Source organism: Homo sapiens, chromosome 6, assembly GCF_000001405.40.
Source record: "Homo sapiens chromosome 6, GRCh38.p14 Primary Assembly".
Classification (NCBI taxonomy): domain Eukaryota; kingdom Metazoa; phylum Chordata; class Mammalia; order Primates; family Hominidae; genus Homo; species Homo sapiens.
This window is the reverse complement of record NC_000006.12, coordinates 127,048,988-127,070,862: the sequence shown is the minus strand read 5'-3', so window position 1 is coordinate 127,070,862 and position 21,875 is coordinate 127,048,988. Positions and strand designations below refer to the sequence as shown.

General features: G+C 36.1%; 1 long non-coding RNA gene across 7 annotated transcripts in view; it reads left to right on the top strand.

The window, feature by feature from the left end:
• LOC105377989 (uncharacterized) overlaps window positions 1-21,875 on the top strand; it is a 347,578-nt gene that overhangs the window by 141,982 nt on the left and 183,721 nt on the right. The gene's annotated exons all lie outside the window — the stretch shown is intronic.

Below are 21,875 nucleotides of genomic sequence, written 5' to 3'. Positions count from 1 at the left end.
GACACAAACCTTCTCAATGAAAAGAAGTAGGTTGTGGAGAAGAGATACTGAGACATGCATTGGACTTATAAAGAGGACAGGGCCAGAAAGGCCAGAGCAGACACTAGTTCAAACAAAGGAAGAAAATGAAAATGAAGACCCGACCTGGAGAAAAATTTCATGAGTAGGCAGTATAATCAGAGATTGTTTCACACCCTTGATTACAAAGGAAGACAGACTAGCCAGGAAGCTAGACTATTGAGCTAGACAGACTAGGTCAATACAGAAACAATACTCAGTTACTAAGTTATTAAGAAGCAGATATTGCGATAATCTTCACATGGGTTATTATGTCTTTTCTTCACGAGAACCTCAATGTAGATATTACAATTGTGAAGGGCCATATAGTACATTGATATCCTCAATGTGGATATTACGATTATGAAGGGCCATATAGTACATTCCAATTTTATAGATGAGAAGAACTCTATGATATAGAAATGCTGAATAATTTGTCTAGAGTCATTCAGATAGTAAGTGGGAGATGAGAGGTTTGGATTTAAGAAGTCTGATATTTGCTGTATGCAAATATCCCAAAGGAGCATTAAATGCTCCAAACCCAAAATAAGAGCGCTCAGGTGTGTGACTGTTGGAGCTGAAATTAGATTCTGCTGGGGTTTACTTATTGCTCCTGCTGTCATTGATAAACCCTATTTCCAAAGGTTTAAATCTCCCAAGTCTCTTGAAGGTGGCAGGTAGCATATATCAAATCATATAGTTCCCATCCTAGCCACTAGGTGGTAGTTAATACTATCAACTCAAGAGTGTTTCCTGATACGGACAGGGTGGAAAAGGACAAAATGTTTGCAGTTTTCAGTGGTCAAACTAGGTGCTCTTTTTGTATAGTGGTGAGATGGCTAATTGCTTTTAAAAAGAAAAAAATAATGTTGAAGGGACAGATTCTCTCATTCTTAACATACTTATTGAGTGTCTATTGTGCTCTAGGCACTGGGATAGATGCTGGAAACAAAGGTAAGCAACAGAGTACGGTGAGACATATAAACACCTAACCAAGGTTGCATATCAGTGTGATGATTGGCTAAATAGAGATATATGCCAGATATAAAATTGAAGAGAAATACTGCAAAATGAGGTGTGTGTGTGTGTGCACACCTACATCTATAGTCAAAGAAATATTACAGAAAGTTTAGGAATGAAGAGACCAAGACCTAGGATAAAGACTTTGCCACTTATGCATTGGGATGCAGTAGCATCTATAGAACAGAACAGGGTTGTATCAATGATAACTATACTATCAGAGTATGAATTATGTACAGTTTCTTTATTTTTAATGGCAATGACTCAAATTATAATTGGTTACATCTGACCACTCTGTCACTTTGGAACTATATATTTGAAGATTTTATCTACTTATTATTTTAAAATAATCATCAATTCTACACTCATATGAACGAAAGACATCAAGCTTCTAATTAGAGGTTCTGGTCAGATGATATAATTAGTGTTAGTATAACTGTTTAGTAATAAATAAATAGAATGCAGCAAACTATATGTTGAATAAATAAAAATGGACTGATATTCTTAGTTTTGTGTATATACATATGTGTGTGTCTGCTAGCGAAAGATATTAACAACAACAAAAAATTTTGAATTTCAAGCTTGAATAAACTTGATTTTTCTCAACTTGTCATTTTTGTATTTTGGAAAGCCTACATTTGTGAAGCTGAATTTTGTGAGGTCAGATACAGTTTTTGTTCTTATTATGCCAATTAATGTTAAGATTGGTTTCATGCTTGTGGCTCAGAAAAATACCAGGGTTGATATTACCACCCATATTGGCCAACGTGAGAAAGCAGAATCCTCTGAGTTGGCTCTGAACCCAGTAGCATTGGAGAACATCCATGCATGGTTAACCCACTTGCCAGAGGCCCACTGGGAATAGTTAGAGTGAGATTTGCCCTTCGTGATGCTTGAAAGCCCTAATACTGAGTTCAAGAATATCCAGAACAGTCACCTATACACATGACAGTCAGGGTATTTATAGTAGAAAACCAGACATGAGCATTCCTGCCTAAATACCATAAAATAATGAAAATTAAACCTATTTTTAAAGATAGATAATTGAATATCATATAAAGCCATGTAGGCCAAGGAAACTAGAAATTTCTCTTAATTATTAATTTATGTGATCTACTTAAATAAGAAAATTTAAGTTTTCTTTTTATATTTTTTTTTCTATTATACTTTAAGTTCTAGGGTACATGTGCACAATGTGGTTTGTTACATATGTATACATGTGCCATGTTGGTGTGCTGCACCCATGAACTCGTCATTTACATTAGGTATATCTCCTAATGCTATCCCTTCCCCCTCCCCCCACCCCACAACAGGCCTCGGTGTGTGATGTTCCCCTTCCTGTGTCCAAGTGTTCTCATTGTTCAATTCCCACCTATGAGTGAGAACATGTGGTGTTTGGTTTTTTGTCCTCGTGATAGTTTGCTGAGCATGATGGTTTCCAGCTTCATCCACGTCTCTACAAAGGACATGAACTCATCATTTTTAATGGCTGCATAGTATTCCATGGTGTATATGTGCCACATTTTCTTAATCCAGTCTATCATTGTTGGACATGTGGGTTGGTTCCAAGTCTTTGCTATTGTGAATAGTGCCACAATAAACGTACGTGTGCATGTGTCTTTATAGCAGCATGATTTATATTCCTTTGGGTATATACCCAGTAATGGGATGGCTGGGTCAAATGGTATTTCTAGTTCTAGATCCCTGAGGAATCGCCACACTGTCTTCCACAGTGGTTGAACTAGTTTACAGTCCCACCAATAGTGTAAAAGTGTTCCTATTTCTCCACATCCTCTCCAGCACCTGTTGTTTCCTGACTTTTTAATGATCGCCATTCTAACTGGTCTGAGATGATATCTCATTGTGGTTTTGATTTGCATTTCTCTACCTCTATCATTGTATTAGAAAATATGTCTGTAGTCTTCTTGAGAAAACTTAAGTATCTCTCACTAAAAAGCATGCTGTAGCAAAAGCAAAATCTCAACAAAATAACAACATGGAATGATTAAATACCTACCTATATACATGAAAATTAACCCACTACTCTTAAAGTGTAGTAATTTATTTTTCACATTAGACTTTATTTGATTTGACAAGTTGGATTTAATTCATAATAAAGAGAAAAGCCTGCAATTTCAAAGCTAGAAGGGTTCATAGAGCAACTCAATAAGGTTTTGATTGTGCCAAGGTAGAACCAGAATTTAATTAGCAGAGAAGACGGAAGGGTATAAGCAATTTCATAATAAAAATGAAAGAATTTTACATTTTTGTCAGCACAAAGAAATGAATTAATAAATGAATAAAAACAAAGAGTCTCAATAAAATAGACTTTTCTATTTCTTAATGAGGTGGCAGTGGGTAGAGACTGAAATACTTTTTTAAATGTCTAATTTATGTCATCTGCTGTGCTGTTATATTATCATCACTACATTCACTTCTCTACTACTCCTACGTAATTGTAAAAATTATAAAACAGTGATCATTCTTGTGTGCATGGTGTTTTGAAAAAGTTGGTCAACAGTGGCAGACAAAAATGGAAACCTTCTGGATAAAATTAGAAGTACACCTAAACTAAAATGTAGACTAAAAAACACTTCTTTGCCCAAGCAGAATGTAAGTTTTTTTTCCAGGCTAGACACTGAGGAACAAAGAAAACTGCATTGATTTGTGACACTACTTTGTATTATTTATAAGTTCCAGGAGTGCTCCTAGCTATAAAATTAATGAAATAAATGATCTTGAACGAGTAATACTCTTAATTTACCTGGTAGAAGTAACAGAGAGAACACTTTCACACTCCTGGCCACATGCAATTACCAATAGAGAAAATGATTTCCAGTAAGATGAACTCACAATAAAAAGTTACCAATGAGATGAGGAAAAAATCTAATATGAAAATATATAATAAAGAAAAATTAGGCACACAGAACTTTACAGAATTAGAAGTTATGGATTATAAAGCAAATATGTTTAAATTGATCATATCAACACAAAATAAATTGAAAAGTACAACGTGTTATGAAAAAAGAATAGGCATCTTTGAAAAATAACCAAATATAATCCCTAGGGAAAACAATGTAATCATTTTTTAAAGACCACTTGAAAGCAGATTAGGTGCTGCTAAAAGGAGAAGGTCTGAACTAGAATATAGGTCTGAGGAATAACCATTTTCTCTCTCTGTCTTCACATCGTCTTTCCTTTGTGCCCATCTGTCTCCAAATTTTCCCTTTTATGGGAACACTAGTCACATTGGATTAGGAGACCATGCAACTCTAGGGAGACTTCATCTTAACCAATTATATCTTTAATTATCTTATTTCGAATAAGGTCACATTCTGAAGTACTGAGAGTTAGGACTTCAACATATGAATCTGAGGGAGACACAATTTTATCTACAACATCTGGTCTTTTTCTGTCTTGAGAAGTTTAGTTGTTTTATGGGTAATGCTTTTATTTATTTATTTATTTATTTATTTATTTATTTATTTAGAGAAGTAGTCTTGCTCTGTTGCTCAGGCTGGAGTGCATTGGCGCGATCTCAGCTCACTGCAACCTCCACATCCTGGGTTCAAGCAATTCTGCCTCAGCCTCCCGAGTAGCTGGGACTACAGGTGTGTGCCACCATGCCCGGCTAATTTTTTTGTATTTTTAGAGGAGATGGGGATTCACCGTGTTAGCCAGGATGGTCTTGATCTCCTGACCTCATGATCTGTCTGCTGAGGACTCCCAAAGTGCTGAGATTACAGGCGTGAGTCACTGTGACTGGACTAGGTAATACATTTTTTATCTTTAGTTGCTTTGAAGAATTATTTTAATCTTTAGTGATTTTGCAGTTCATTACAGTATTTACAGGTACATATTTATTCTCATATGTCCTGATTGAGACTCGATGAGTTGTTGTTGTTTTTAATATAAGTGTTCTTGTCTTTCATCACTTCTGAGAAATTATCTTTGTATATTGGGCTTACCACCCTGTTTAACAAATACTGCATCTCCTCACTCTCACTCTAGGCCCTATGTGTCTAGTCTGTACTGTTTTGAATCTTGTTATGTTTATGTGCTGCATTCTGGGTAATTCCTCAGTGCTGGGATTACAAGTGTGAGCCAACCCACCCAGCCAAGAGCAAACTCTATAGTTAAAGGCAAATAATCTCAGGTATAACAAAAAGAATAAATTCAATTATAAGAATCACACCTTAAGCATAACAAAAAATAGCTAGTATTTACCTAGGAATAAGCACAGTGCTTAGAATTGTAACTTCTTCAAATCTCACAAAAGCCTTTTGACATAGTATTCAGCTGGGTTGACCTCATGCTTATGTCCAGAACTACCTGGAGTAATCACCCTTGGCCAATGTTATAATATATTTTAACTAGTGATAAATTATGTTCTATAACCATGTGGATGCATCAATTTGTCAACACTGTTTTGTAATTGATGATTTGCATCTGTGTTTGGTGCAACCTGGGTAATTTTTGTAATTTAGGATGATCACATAGCTGGAATGTGCCTATGTGACCACCTCTCTATAACAGACCCCATCATGAACAGACTTTGAGCTTGTTGGTACCAAGATGCTTTGCATACATTTTGATGGTGATTCAAAACTAGGAGAACAAGTCAATTCAGTGCAATCCATAGTGAGAAGACAAGCCTGCATCTGAGATTTCCAGACCCCTTTCAATGAATACCTTTGTTTTGCCATTGTTGCATTGTATCCTTTACCCATAATAAAGCTATTTTGTGAGTAAACACTATTTGAGTCCTTTCAGCAAACAAACACGAAGATTAATATAAAATTAAGGCAGATATATACCATGTTAATATCTCTGTTTTAAAAATGAGAACCCGGAGGCATGGAGGTGTTAAAAAACTTCCCCCCAGATAATACCATTATAAAGTGACAGAGCAGGGACTTAACAGGAAGTCTGAGAGCTCAAGACTTGCTGTCTTCCCCACTGCACTACATTGCATCTCTGGTGGAACAGAAAAATTAAAAACAAAAATGGGAAAAATATACTTGGCAAATAAATCCTAAGAGGAAACTTGTGTAGCTTTATAATTATTGGACAGAATAGATTTTGAGGCAAAAGATATTATAGAGAGAAAATTTTGCTAAGTAATTATACATAAAAATACTAATCAGAAAGATGTAACAATTTTGAACACGTGTGCACCTCTATCAAAACAATCTTGGCTGCGGGCAGTGGCTCACGCCTGTAATCCCAGCACTTTGGGAGGCCGAGGCGGGCGGATCATGAGGTCAGGAGATTGAGACCATCCTGGCTAACACGGTGAAACCCTGTCTCTACTAAAAAATAGAAAAAATTGGCCGGGAGTGGTGGCGGGTGCCTGTAGTCCCAGCTACTCGGGACACTGAGGCAGGAGAATGGCGTGAACCCAGGAGGCGGAGCTTGCAGTGAGCCAAGATCGTGCCACTGCCCTCCAGCCTGGGCAACAGAGCGAGGCTCCATCTCAAAAAAAAAAAAAAAAAAAAAAAAAAAATCTTATTATGCATAAGAAAAATTGACACAATTTCAAGAAGAAATTGACCAATCCACCATCATGATACGTAACACCATTCTTTTAATATTTGATAAGTCAAGCAGATTAAAAATAATACTGATTTTGAAAATTTGAACAACACATAAAAAAGCTTGATAATCTGGGCACATATGTAATTCTGCTCTTAAATTAGAGAACACATGTGACCACATATTATTTTAAAAGGATTATTAAGGTATGTAACAGGTATATATGGCATATAAACAAAATCCTTTTTAATTTAGGTTACATTTTCTTATCATTCAGTGACAAAATTGGAAATAAATAACAAAAATGACCAAAAAACCTGTCATATCAGAACATTTAACAATGAACTTCTTAACTCAGACTTTTGGTATAAACGGAAAAATACAAATTAGAGTATTTTTCCTTCTCTTCCTGGCACACTTAAAAAGCAACAAGTAAAAAAAAAAACCTATAAAAACTCCATCTTGAGTGAATGTAGGAGAAAATTATAATATGAATATATATTTGAGATTAAGAGCAGAGGACAGAGAAGGGCCCACTAGCAGAATATCTCAGAATGCCCCAGCAAAGGCTTGGTGTGGTGGCTCGTGCCTATAATCCCAGCACTTTGGAAGGCCAAGACAGGTGGATCACCTGAGGTCAGGAGTTTGAGACCAGCCTGGCCAACATGGTGAAACCCTGTCTCTACTAAAAATACAAAAATTAGCTGGGTGTTGTGGTGTGTGCCTTTAGTCCCAGCTATTGGGGGTGCTGAGGCAGGAGAATCACTTGAAATGGGGAGGTGGAGGTTGCAGTGAGCCGAGATTGTGCCACTGTACTCCAGCCTGGGAAACAGAGTGAGACTCCATCTCAAAAAAAAAAAAGAAAAAAAAAGAAAAAAAAGCCCCAGCGAAAGTGTTCTTGTGAAGCTGAGGGGAGTACCATAAAGTGTAAAAACTACATTCAGCATTGATGTTATTCAGTGCACATAATAGTGTTAGTTATTAAAATCCTGCAATAATTCAGAGTAGATTTGTAAATAGTTGCTGTTCCACGCTCCCTGAGTACATTCACCAACCACCTTTCAGCTGCTTTGGCTTTCTCTGCTCCCTTCCTTTCTGTACTATTTGTTAAATATTTTAAATATTACCCTGGCTAGTCACTTTTTTACAATAAGCATGGGAACTAACGAGATTAAGGTTGATGGCAGAAGGCCTCCTTGATCTGGGAAGAGGGAGTTGGAGAGGTATGGTTACAGTAAACACACACACACACACACACACACACACACACACGCACACACAATATATCCATACATGCAGGAAGCAGTTCACCTCTACAGTAGTGGTAAAAGAGAGAATTTGGTATGTAAAGTCTGTATGGCTTATCTGGCCCATTCTATCTTCACCTTCAAAGAAAACTCTTGCGAACAGTTGATCCAGAAAATTGAACTAATTCAAAGATAATAAAATTTAAAAAGAAAAAATAGAATTTATACAAAGATACTGTAAGAATAAAGAAGAAAATGAGCATTACAACATGCCAATAGATAAAAAAAATACCAGAAAAGGAACACCACGGAGTAGCTGAAAAGCATTATCAGCTATGTGAATGAAAATAATAAAATCTGAGTTAATAAATTCTGTGTTAGAAAGCTACAAGGAAGAAATGAAAAAAAAAAACCCTCTGGAAGGAGAAACCAGAGCACTAGGAGGATATTAAATAGGAACTACTTGAACCAAAGAATAAAGGAGATAAATAACAGTGATGAAATTGGAAAGACTACAAGGTATTAGAGACACTGGAGAAACCAATGGATGAGAAAAATAAGAAACCAAACACAATTAAGTGGAAATTAGAGAAAGAGTGAAAAATGAGAAAGCATGATACAGATTGAATATAGATTCAAAGAAATCCAACATAAGTGTAATTGGAGTCTCCAAAGGAAAAAAATAATGGAACATTACGAATATATAGATAATTCTAATATATCTTTAAAAAGAGCTAACAAAATCCACATATTGAAGTGTCACCATGTTTGGCAGAAAAAAATTGATCCAGAATGTTGACACTGAGATATATCTAGTAAAGTTTTAATTTTAGATATAAAAAATATATACGTTTTAGTCAGTTTAGATACTCACTTATTGTGTGTGTGTGTGTGTGTGCATGTGTGTGCATGGTGGTAGAGAATGGAGACTGTTCCAAGTTTTAATTCCACTGTGGCAATGTAAGTTCCCTGTACCTCATCACTGTAGTTCATAGCAAGTATAAACTTTGAAAAAAAATACAAAAATAATCATAACAAATGAACAAAAACCCCAAATGACCTAAAGTTTCTAAAAAGTAAAGAAAAGTAGGGAATTTATAGAGGTGAGTTAAAGCCTGAAAAAGCAAGTGGAATAGGAAGGTGATTTCTTTTCTTTCTTCCTTTGTATGGTTTTGCCCCAAGTTCAGCCTCACTCACCAGGTGTGCTGCATGGGCAGCTAAAATTTCAAAATAAATGCTGACATTTTTCTGACCTAAGCAATAAGTCCCACGGGAAACATTTGGCAATGTCTGAAGACATTTTTGGTGTAACTGGAGGTGAGAGTTTGAGATGCTACATATTGTTACAATACACAGGACAGCACCCTACAACAAAGAATTATTTGGCCCTAAAAGTCAATAGTGCCAAATCAGAAAAACCTTAAAGCATAGTAACTGCAGGAAAAAGCCTGGGCAGGTAAGAGAGTAGGGGAAAAGTCCCAGAAGAGACACAGCCAAAGAGGGGGATCCCTTAGTTCAGTGTAAAAACCCATTCGAAAAAGTGCACCCCTTTTTTTTTTTGAAATGCAACCTCACCACGTTTTTCAGGCTGGTCTCCGTTTCCTGGGCTGAAGTGATTCTCCTGCCTTAGCCTTTTGAGGAGCCAGGGCTTCAGGAATGCACTATCACACCTGGCTAGAAAAGTGCACATGTCTTAAATTTATAATATATAAGTTATTGTGAAATGATAATGCCCAGATAACAACAAGGGCAAGAAATAGAATATTACTCGAGTTCTAGAAGCCTCCTATGAAGAAGAAATAATGGTTAAGAAACCTGTTTTTATTATAGACAAATCTGCTTCAACAATTATCAGTTTAAGTTCAATCTTGTTTTATGTGTTCCCTTACCCATTTTTCCTCTCCCTATATTATTTTGAAGCAAAATCAAGAGATCTTATATCTACTTTCGCATGTATTAGTATGTGTCTCTAAAAGAAAAGAACTCATTTTAAAAAATAACTACAGTCACATTATAAACACCTAAACACTAACTATAAGTCCTGAATATCATAAAAGCTTCAAATATCTCATAAATGTTACTTAATGCTTGGTGTTTTGTTTGGATCAGATGAAAGTAACGTCTGATTGGTTGATTTGCCTTGAAGTAATTTTTAGTTTGTTTCTCCTCCGTTTCTTTTTCTTTTCTTTGCAATTTATTTCTTGAGGAAAAGGTCTTCCAGGGTTTACCAGTCTTCGATTTGCTGATTATATTCTTGTTGTGTTATTTTATGTGTCCCTATGTCCTCTGTATTTTCTATAAATTGCCCTTTAGATTTAGAAGGTTGATTAGATTGAGATTCAATTTATTAAATTATTTTGAGGGACAAGACCTGACAGAAGTGCATACTGTCTCCTTTTCACTCCATTAATTCATTAGAGGTTGCAAAATTGTGATTTTTTTTTCAAATATGATCATTTTTACTTGCTGGAATATCTATATTTAAAGTTTGCTTTTTTTCATCATTCTTTTCCTGATGTTTGTGTCTTTAAAAATGCTTTTTTATATACTTTTGTCCAGGTTTTAGGGTTGTTTTAGGATGGGAGGCTGAATCATGCCACCTTGGAGAGAATCTGAAGTTTCTTTGTTATCTATTAATAGAGCTTCACAATTTTTTACAGGTCTTGCTTATTTTGTAAAATTTATTCCTGGAGATAAATTGATTTATATAAAACTTTAGAAACTCTTGTACTGGATATTCAATTATACATTAATCCAGCAACATTAATTGTATTTAACTAACTGCAAGTCTTATTTTAGACAGTCTCCTGAATGAAATAAGTCAGAAATTGTCTCTGCCCTCAATGAGCTAATGGAAAACAACAAGCTAATGGAAATCATCTTGTTTTTCATTAGCTGTATGTATTAGTCAGGGTTCTCTTAAAAGGCCAGAACTAATAGGATATATATATATATATACATATATATATATATATATATATATATGTATATATATATATGTATATATATAGGAGTTTATTAAATATATATATTTAATATATACATATAGGGTAGTTTATTATTAACTTACACTATCACAGGGTTCCACAATAGGCTGTCTGCAAGGTGAGGGGCAAAGAGAGCCAGTCTGAGTCCCAAAACCGAAGAACTTGGAGTCCCTTGTTTGAGGGCAGAAAGCATCCAGCATGGGAGAAAGATGTAGGCTGGGAGGTTAGGCCTGTCTCTCCTTTTCATGCTTTTCTGCCTGCTTTATATTGGCTGGAAGCTGATTATATTGTCCCCACCAGATTAAGGGTGAATCTGCCTTCCCCAGCTCACTGACTCAAATGTTCATCTCTTTTGGCAACACCCTCACAGACACACCCAGGATTAACACTTCGTATCCCTCAATCAAATCAAGTTGACACTCAGTAGTAACCATCACACTGTATATATTCCATTAGCTGTAATATATATGTATTCCAATCTGTATGTGTATGTGTGTGTGTGTGTGAGTGTGTGTATATAGAAAGAGAGAGAGCTAGAGAGAGAGAGAGAGAGCATCCCTAATACAGAAATCCAAATTTTAAAATGCTCCAAAATATAAAACTTTTTGAGAGACATCATGATGCTACAAGTGGAAAATTCCACACTTGACCTTATGGGATGGGTCGTAGTCAAAATGGAGGCACATAATGCACAGTATATTCAGTGCCTCCAAAGGAAAAATTACCCTCCCAACCCCCTTCAGTTTTGATATATCTCTTCTGTGTATAGCCAGATTCCCCTTTGCAAGTATGTCAACAATGGGTAAAAAAAAAAAAGGTACATGTGTAGGCTGGATGTGCCCATGGTGGGTTACTACGATGTGCCACATGGAGCCAAGCCCTGTGTACATGACTCACTGTGGGTTTTTTGCTTATTCTCTCTTCTGGGTATAAAATGTCAAAAAGACCTGCAGCTATCATTATGGTAAAAAAGAGGTTAAAAAAAGAGGAAGCATTTATATTTATTTGTAGCACAGAAAGTCAAGCTGTTCTAGAAGTTGGACAGTGGTATAAGTGTGAAACATCGTACAAAGAGGATAGTATTAGAATTACCACCATATATGGCCTGAAGAAAAAAAGTATACATTGTTGAAGTTCTATGCTGAAAATGATGGACAAAGTTAATGAAAAATAGAAACACTGCATAAAGCTAGAAATGAAGATGTTGATCTTTTATTGGAAGAGTGAATCCATCAGTATCACGGTGAACATATACCACTTAATGTTATGCTATCATGAAACAAGCAAAGATCTGTCATGATGAACTTAAAATTGAAGGGAACTATAAATATTTAATAGAATGGTTGAAGAAATTTCAGAAGGGATGTGGCATTAAATTTTTCAGGATTTCTGGTTATAAAACGTCTGTTGATCATGAAGTAGTGGAGAAATTCACTGACGAGTTTGCAAAGGTCATTGCTGATGAAAATCTGATGCCAGACCAACTCTATAATGCTGACAAAACATAACTGTTTTGACATTATTGTCCCAGAAAGATATTGACTACAACTGATAAGACAGCCCCTATAAGACAGCCCCTATAGGAATGAAGGATGCCAAGGATAGAATAACTGTGCGGAGATGTGCTAATGCAGCAGGCATGCGTAAGTATAAACTTTTTATGATAGACAAAAGTTGGGGCCCTTGGTGTTTTCAAGAAGCAAATTTCAAACTAGTTCACTATTATGGTACCAGAAAGGCATAAATCACCAGGGACAGATTTTCTGATGGTTTAACCAACATTTTATACCAGTGACTCATGCTTAATGCAGGGAAGCTGGACTATATGACAACTGCAAGATCTTGTTAGTCCTTGACAACAGTTCTGTTCATCCTGTAGCTGAAGTTTTCATCAAAAATGTTTATTGCTGTGCACTTTTTCCCATATAGGACTTCATTAATTCAAACATGTGACAATGGTATCCTTAGATAAATAAAGAGCAAATATTAAAAAAACACTTTTTTGAACAGCCTGTTAAGAGCATGAACAGAGGCATGGGTGTGAATGTTTTCAAAAGAAGTTTAGCATGAAAGATGCTGTTGCCAGTGCTTGGAACACATGACTAAAGACACAGTTGTGCATGCCTGGCACAACCTCTGGCCTGTGACAATGTTCAGAGATGGATGATGAACAAGGTGGTGACTTTCAAGGATTCCACATGTCAAGTGAGAAAAAAAATGATATCTGACCTTCATAGCCTGTCTGTAAGATGGAAGAAGTATACATTAAATAGTTTTTAATATTGATAATGAGGCTCCAGGTCTTCATTTACTGACTGACAGTGAAGGAGGAGAAATGATTCTGAATAAAGGGGATCGTGATAATAGTGATGATGAAGGTGATGCTAACACTGCAGAAAAAGTGCCTATAGATGACATAGTGAAAATGCGTGTGTGACTTTTTGAAGGACTGGAGCAGCATATATGATATGGTTTGGTTGTGTCCCCACCCAAATCTCACCTTGAATTGTAATAATCCCCACGTGTCAAGGGTGGGGCCAGGTAAGGATAATTGAATCATGGGACGGTTTTCTCCATACTATTCTTGTGGTAGTGAATAAGTCTCATGAGATCTGATGGTTTTATAAGTGGGAGTTCCCCTCCACAAACTCTCTTGCCTGCCACCATATTAAGATGTGACTTTGCTCCTCATTTGCCTTCCGCCATGATTGTGAGGCCTCCCCAGCCATGTGGAATTGTGAGTTCCTTAAACCTTTTTCCTTTATAAATTACCCAGTCTCTAGTATGTCTTTATTAGCAGCATGAGAATAGACTAATATAATATATTATAACATAACAAGAAATCATGTCAATTTATAAAATCAAAGAGACACTTCTAAGATAAAGACCATTGTTAATGAGGCAGATGACTGTGGGAAACATTTTAAAAAGCTGTCCAGCAGAATGCCTCCTCATCCCTACAGGACTTTTTGGCACTTCTTGGTCCCTCAACTGTTTCTGGTGTTTATTTTTATCTAAAAAATAAAATGCAATGTAAACTTTTAATCAAAACACAGTATCATACACAGAGAAAGTCTGCTGTTGATTGTTGTTGCTGTTGTTTAAAAGCTGATAAAAACAATGACAGACTGTGAAGCCAAACAACCACAGATTGTCCACATGTGCGGCTGAGATGGTGTCACCTATGGTTTCTGATGGTTCAATGTGTACAAACTCTGTTTCATGCACAAAATTATTTAAAACATATAAAAATACCTTAGGCTATGTGTATAAGGTGTATATAAAACATAAATGAATTTCATGTTTAGATTTAGGTATGTAAATGCAAATATTCCAAAATCCAAAAAAAAGAAAAAAAAAGAAATCTGAAACACTTCTGGTTTCAAGCATTTTGGATAAGGGATACTCCACCTGTAATGGTCAAAGACAAGGTGATTCAAATGAACATTTTGATAATTCTCTTGAAAAATCATCAGGAAGAGTTTGAAGGACATATCATTTGAGCTAGTATCTGCAATCTAGAGATCTTTTTAGCATAAAATGATGGACAATAGATAAAATCCAGGAAAAGAGAACAGAATCAAAGCTGTGAAAAATGTGAAGTTCTTAAAAGATGTATTAAGTTTTCCAATGTGTCTAGCATTTTGGGTTATTAATGGGAAAAGCTTGGAAAGTAATATAGGAAAGGTAGTTCAGTAGCAGGTTCCAGAGAATCCTGGATATAAAACTAATTGCTTTGGCCTTCATTCTGTGGCCAATAGGAACTTACTGAAAAAATCTGAATAGGATGATGACAACTTAGATGCAGTGATGTTTAATATTGAGTGTCAACTTAATTGGATTGAAGGATGCAAAGTATTGTTCCTGGGTGTGTCTGTGAAGGTGTTGCCAAAGGAGATTAACACTTGAGTCAGTGGACTGGGAGAGGCAAACCCACCCTCAGTCTGGGTAGGCCCCATCTAATCAACTGCTAGTGCGGCTAGAATAAAGCAGGCAGAAGAAAGTGCAATGAGATTTGATTTGCTGAGTCTTCCAGCCTTCATCTTTCTTTCGTGCTGGATGCTTCCTTCCTCAAACATCAGACTCCAAGTTCTTCAGCTTTTAGACACTTAGACTTACACCAGTGGTTTGACAGGGGGTCTCAGGCCTTCGGCCACAAATTGAAGTTTGCACCACTGGCTTCCCTACTTTGAGGTTTTCGGTCTCGCACTGGCTTCCTTGCTCCTCAGCTTGCAGATGGCCTATTGTGGGACTTCACCTAGTGGTCATGTGAGTCAATTCTCCTAACAAACTCCCCTTCATATACACATATATCCTATTAAGTTCTGTCCATTTAGAGAACCCTAACTAATACAGATGCATTTCAGATAGAATAGACTGGCAGCTTCATGTGTAACAAAAATTCAGTCTGTTGTGATTGAAGAGAACAGATAAAGTATGAACAGTCTACGAAGACTTCATTGGAACTCCCTCAAACACATAACAACTAAGGCAAACTTAATCAAATGGATTCTAGGGTGGACTTAGATATGTACTGTTTAAACGAAAAATAATTATTGATACTAGAATAAAAACTACCCGAATTCCAGCCAGGTGTGGTGGCTCACACCTGTAATCCTGGCACCTTGAGAGGCCCAGGTTGGTGGATCACTTGAGGCGAGGAGTTCAGGACCAACCTGGGCAACATGGTGAAGCCCCGTCTCTACTGAAACTACAAAAATTAGCCGGGCATGGTGGCATGTACCTGTAATTCCAGCTGCTCGAGAGGCTGAGGCATGAGAATTGCTTAACCTGGGAGGCGGAGGTTGTGGTGAGTCGATTGTACCACTGCACTCCAGCCTGGATGACAGAGCAAGACTCTGTCTCAAAAACAAAAACAAAACAAAACAACAAAAACAAACAAACAAAAAAAACCTACCTAAATTCCACAATGCCAATTTCAATTTTTAAACCACATTATATTTGTTGATTTGGAGGAGGAGGCTGTTAAAATATATCATTGAATTAATTTTATCTTTTATTCATTTCTCTGCCAATGATAACTGCTGTGTGCGATTTTCCATGCTGGAAGATGATTTGTTTCACATTTTCAATATATAGTTAGTTTACTGCTCAAGACCACATCAGAAAAACAAAGTCAGTCATAAAGCAGCTTGCACTCTGTGATCATTCCTTTTAAAAATCTCATATTCAGCATCAAAACATTTATCCATTTCAGAGAAACCAAACCTCGGCACATGATTCTGCACCGTGTGATGATATTAAACATATTATACGTTAAATGATTTCAATTATTTTGCCTATTTCACAAACTTCATTTTGAATCTTATTAGCATTATATCTTTGGTTTTATTCAATAACAGTGCTTTAAAACTTAAGGAAGATGACACTCAAAATAGTACCATTCTCCATTATCTCTACTGGTTACTTCTATAGCCTCCCACCCACCATTGCCACTTTGCCAGGGTGGCAAACACTCAGAAGGTCTTAATGGAGCCTAAAGAAGAGCTTGTAAGCATGTCTTTAAATTCCCTGAGGAAATTGTAACTGAAAAGGAGATTCTAATACAAGTGTATTATATCTTAGTTTTGAAGACTCTAAAATAATACTACAGTTTGAGAGCAAGCCTCAGGTTTTAATTAATTTGTGATAAAATGATTCACCACATGAACAAGCCTAAAAGAGAAAAAAGAATCAAGTCAAAAGATGCAGAAAAAGCATTTGACAAAGTCAACATTCATTCCTCATAAAACACTCAGAAACTTGGGATTGAAGTAAACTACTTTAACCTAATAAAGATAATTTTCAAAAAGCCTACAGCTAACATTATACTTAATGGTGAAATACTGAATCCTTTTTGCCTAAGATAAGAAACAAACAAACAAAAAAAGCGTCTGTTCTTACCACTTCTATTCAACTATAGTAGAGGTTATATCTGGTACCTTCAGGCAAAGCAAAACAAAACAAAACAAAACAAGGCCTTCAGATTGGAAGGGCAGAAATATGCCTGTCATTATTTTCAGTTGACATAATTGTCTATGCAGTAAATCTGACAGAATCTACAAAAATGCTTGTAGAACTAAGTGAGTTTATCAAGGCTACAGAATATAAGATCAATATACAGAATCAGTTGTATTTTTATATTCTAGCAATGAGTAATTAGAAAATGAAATTTTAAAATATCATTTAAAATTAAAACTAAATATGGAATACTTTGGATAAATCTGACAAATGATGTCAAGGACTAGTAAGTTTCTTGAAACTACAAAATATTATTGAGAGGAAGTAAAGAAGGCTGACATAAATGAAGAGCTATTTCCTGTTGATGAGTCAGAAGATTCAATATTGTTAAGGTGGCAATTCTTTTCCAAACGTATCTTTTGATTATCCACAATTTCATTCAAAAATTTAGTAGATTTTTTTTGTAGAAATTGACAAACCAATTTAAAAGTTCACATGGGAATGTAAAGCAGCGTTACATTAGTTCTCTATTGCTACTTTACAAGCTACTACAAACACAGTTGCTTAAAACAACATCCATTTCTTAGCTCACAGTTCTGTAGGTCAGAAGTCTGGCATGGCCTGGCCAGATTCCCTAATTAGGGTGTTAAAAGGTATTTATACAGGGTATCAAAATCAAGGTGTTACTGGTCTGAGTTATTGTCTGAGGTTCTGAGGAAATACTGCCCTTCATGTTCATTATTGCTTGCAGAATATAATTCCAAGTAGTTATAGGACTACAGTTTCTGTTTCTTGCTGACTGTAAGCCAGTGGCCACACTCAGCTACTAGAGGCTACCCACATTCTTTGACACTTAGCCCTCTCCTCCAAGCCAACAATGATATGTCCAATCCTTCTTGTGCTTCAAATCTAAGCATGATCCTCTTTATGAATATTGCCTAGTGTGATACATTGAGATTCTCTAAAATCCTTGAGGAATATTTGTCTTTATGCTAAACAGTCATCCACTGCTACAAGCTAGGGCTCATGTACCAAACTGTATAGTTTTATTGTTTCTTTCTTTAGTATTTATCTGCTTTCATGTATTTTGCTAGGAAGCAGGAACTGTGCAACCAAACTTGATAAAGTTTTTATAAAATAGTGACTTAAACATATTTCTCCAAAAAAAGCACTGTGGTCCCCCCAAATAGTTGAGTACATCTATTCTGAATACTGAAAGGTTTCTTTTCCCTCTTTCTGCATTTTCTGTTTTTTTAAATCATTTAAACTTTTACTTTAGATTCAGAAGGTACAATTTGTCAGTTTGTTTCATGGGTATATTGCATGATGCTGAAGTTTGGGGTACAACTGATCCCATCACCCAGATAGTTAGCATAATACCCAATAATTAGTTTTCCAACCCTTACCCCTCTCCTTCTCTCCTCTCATTAGTAGTCCCCAGTGTCTATAGCTGCCATCTTTATGTCCATGAGTACCCAATGTTTGCCTTCCACTTGTAAGTGAGAACATGTGGCATTTGCTTTTCTGTTCTTGTGTTAATTCACTTAGGATAATGCTCTCCAGCTGCAACCATGTTGCTGCAAAGGATATGATTTAATTCCTTTTCATGGCTGCATAGTGTTCTCTGATATATATGTACCACATTGTCTTTAATCCACCATTGATGAGCACCTAGGTTGATTCCATATCTTTGCTATTGTGAATAGCTCAGTAATGAACATACAAGTGTGTGTCTTTTTGGTAGAATAATTTATTTTCTTTTGGATATATATTCAGTAGTAGGATTGCTGGGTTGAATGGTAGTTTTGTTTTAAGTTCCTTGAGAAATTTCCAAACTTCTTTCCACAGAGGCTGAACTAATTTACATTCCCACCAGCAGTTTATATGCATTCCTGTTTCTTTGCAGCCTTGCAAGCATCTTTTGTTTTTTGACATTTCAATAAAAGCCATTCTGACTACTGTGAGATGGTATCTCACTGTGGTTTTGATTTTCATTTCTCTGATGGTTGGTGATGTGGAGCATTCTTTTCATGTTTGCTGGCCACTTGTAGCTTGTATGTCTTATTTTGAGAAGTGTTAATTTATGTCTTTTGCCAATTTTTTAATGGGGTTATTTGGTTTTTGCTTGTTCAGTTGTGTAAGTTCCTGGATAGTAGACCTTTGTCATATGCATAGTTTGTGAATATTTTCTCCCATTCTGTACATTGTCTGTTTACTCTGTTGATAGTTCCTTTTGGTATGCAGAAGCTCTTTAGTTTAATTAGATCCCATTTGGCAATTTTTGTTTTTTGTTGCAATTGCTTTTGAGAACTTAGTCATAAATTCTTTCCCAAGACTGATGTCCAGAATGGTTTTTCTTAGGTTATCTTCTAGGATTCTTGTAGCTTGAAGTCTTACATTTAAATCTTTAATCCTTCTTGAGTTAATTTTTGTATATGGTGAAAGGTAGAGATCCAGATTCATTCTTCTGTATATGGCTAGCCAGCGATCACAGCATTATTTTTTGAAAAGTGAGTCCTTTCTCCATTGCTTATATTTGTCATCCTTTTCAAAGATCAGATAGCCATAGGTGTGTAGCTTTGCTTCTGGGTTCTCTATTCTGTTCCATTAGTCTATGTGTCTATTTTTGTACCAGTACCATGCTGTTTGGCTACTGTAGGCTTAAAGTGTAGTTTGAAGACAGGTAATATGATGTCTCTAGCTTTGTTCTTTTTGCTTAGGATTGCTTTGGCTATTTGGAATCCTCTGTGGTCCCGTATGAATTTTAGAATCTTTTTTTCTAATTCTGTGAAAAATGACATTTGTAGTTTCATAGGAATTATGTTGATTCTGTAGATTACTTTGAGTATCATGGTCATTTTAATGATACTGATTCTGCCAATCCAAGAGGAGCATGGAATGTTTTTCCAACTGTTTGTGTAATCTATGATTTCTTTCAGTAGTGTTTTGTAGTTCTCCTTGTAGAGATCTTTTACCTTTTTGGTTAGATGTATTCCTAAGTGTGTGTGTGTGTGTGTGTGTGTGTGTGTGTTTATGGTAAATGGGATTGCCTTCTTGATTTTGCTCTCAGCTTGAATGTTATTGATGTATAGAATTGCTATTGATTATTTTACATTGAGTTTTTATCCTGAAACTTTACAAAGAGTGGTAAGTGAGCATTTTTGTCTTGTTCCAGTTGTCACGGGTTCCAGCTTTTGCCCATTCACCATGATGTTGCCTGTGGGTGTGTCATAAATGGCTCTTATTATTTTGATATATATTCCCTCAATGCCTAGTTTGTTGAGGGTTTCATCATGAAAGGAGATTGGATTTTGTCAAAAGCTTTTTCTGAATCTATTGATGATAATGCGGCTTTTGCTTTTGATTTTGTTTATGTGGTGAATCATATTTATTGATATGTGTATGTTGAACCAACCTTGCATCCCAGGAGTAAAGCCAACTTGATCGTGGTGAATTAAACTTTTTGATGTGTTGCTGGTTTTGGTTTGCCAGTATGTTGTTGAGAATTTTTGTGTGTATGTTCTTCAGCGACATTGGTTGGTAGTTTCTTCTTCTTCTTGTGTTTTTGGCAGGTTTTGGTATCACAGTGATGCTGGCTTCACCGAATGAGTTGGGGAAAAGTTCCTCCTCCTCATTGACTAGTTTAGCAGAATTGGTACTACCTCTTCTTTTCACAACTGGTAAAATTCGGCTATGAATCTATCAGGTCCAGGTTTTTTGTTTTTTTTTTTTTATTGGTAGGTTTTTTTTTTCTTACTGTTTCAATTTCAGAACTCATTATTGAATGATTTTTGGGTTAACAATAAAGTTAAGCAGGAATTTAAAAAATCTTTGAAATAAATGAAAATAGAGTTACAACATACCCAAATCTTCAGGATGCTATAAAAATAATGTTAAGAGGAATGTTTATAGCATGAAACACCTATCTTAAAATGTTAGAAAAATCTCAAATTAATCATCTAACATTGCACATAAAAGAGCCAGAAAAACAAGAACAAAACCAACCGCAAAGATAACAGAAGAAAATAAATAACTAAAAACAGAGCCAAAATGAATGAAATTGAGATCCAAAAATTCATACAAAAATTGGCCAGGCACAGTGGCTCATGCCTGTAATGACAGCACTTTGGGAGGCCGAGGCGGGTGGATCACCTGAGTTCAGGAGTTTGAGACCAGCCTGGTCAACATGATGAAACCCCGTCTCTACTGAAAACACAAAAATTAGCCAGGCATGGTGGAGGGGGGCTGTAATCCCAGCTACTGGGAGGCTGAGGCAAGAGAATCGCTTGAACCCAGGAGGTGGAGGTTGCAGTGAGCTGAGATTGCACCACTGCACTCCAGCCTGGGTGACAGAGTGAGACTCCGTCTCAAAAAAAAAAAAAAAAAAAAAAAAAAAATTCATACAAAGAATCAATGTAATCAATAGTTGGTTGTTTGAGAAGATAAACAAAATCAATAAACCACTAGTTATATTAACAAAGTAAAACATAGGAAAGATCCAAATAAGCACAATAAAAAATGACAAAGGTGATATTGCAACCCATCTCACAGAAATACAAAAGTTCCTCAGACTTTGAACACCTCTATCAAACAAACTAGAAAATCTAGAGGAAATGGATACATTCCTTGAAACACCTGACCTCTCATGATTGAATCAAGAAGAAATTGAAAACCTTTCTGCATTTTTTAAAAATTATACTTTAAGTTCTAGGGTACATGTGCACAACGTGCAGGTTTGTTACAAGTGCAGGTTTGTTGCACCCATTAACTCGTCATTTACATTGGGTATTTCTCCTAATGATATACCTCCCCCAGTCCCCCACCCAGTGACAGGCCCCAGTGTGTGATATTCCCCTCCCTGTGTCCAAGTGTTCTTATTGTTCAATTCCAACCTATGATTGAGAACATGCGGTGTTTGGTTTTCGGTTCTTGTGATAGTTTGCTCAGAATGATGGTTTCCAGCTTCATCCATGTCCCTGCAAAGGACATGAACTCATCCTTTTTTATGGCTGCATAGTATTCCATGGTGTACATGTGCCACATTTTCTTAATCCAGTCTATCATTGAT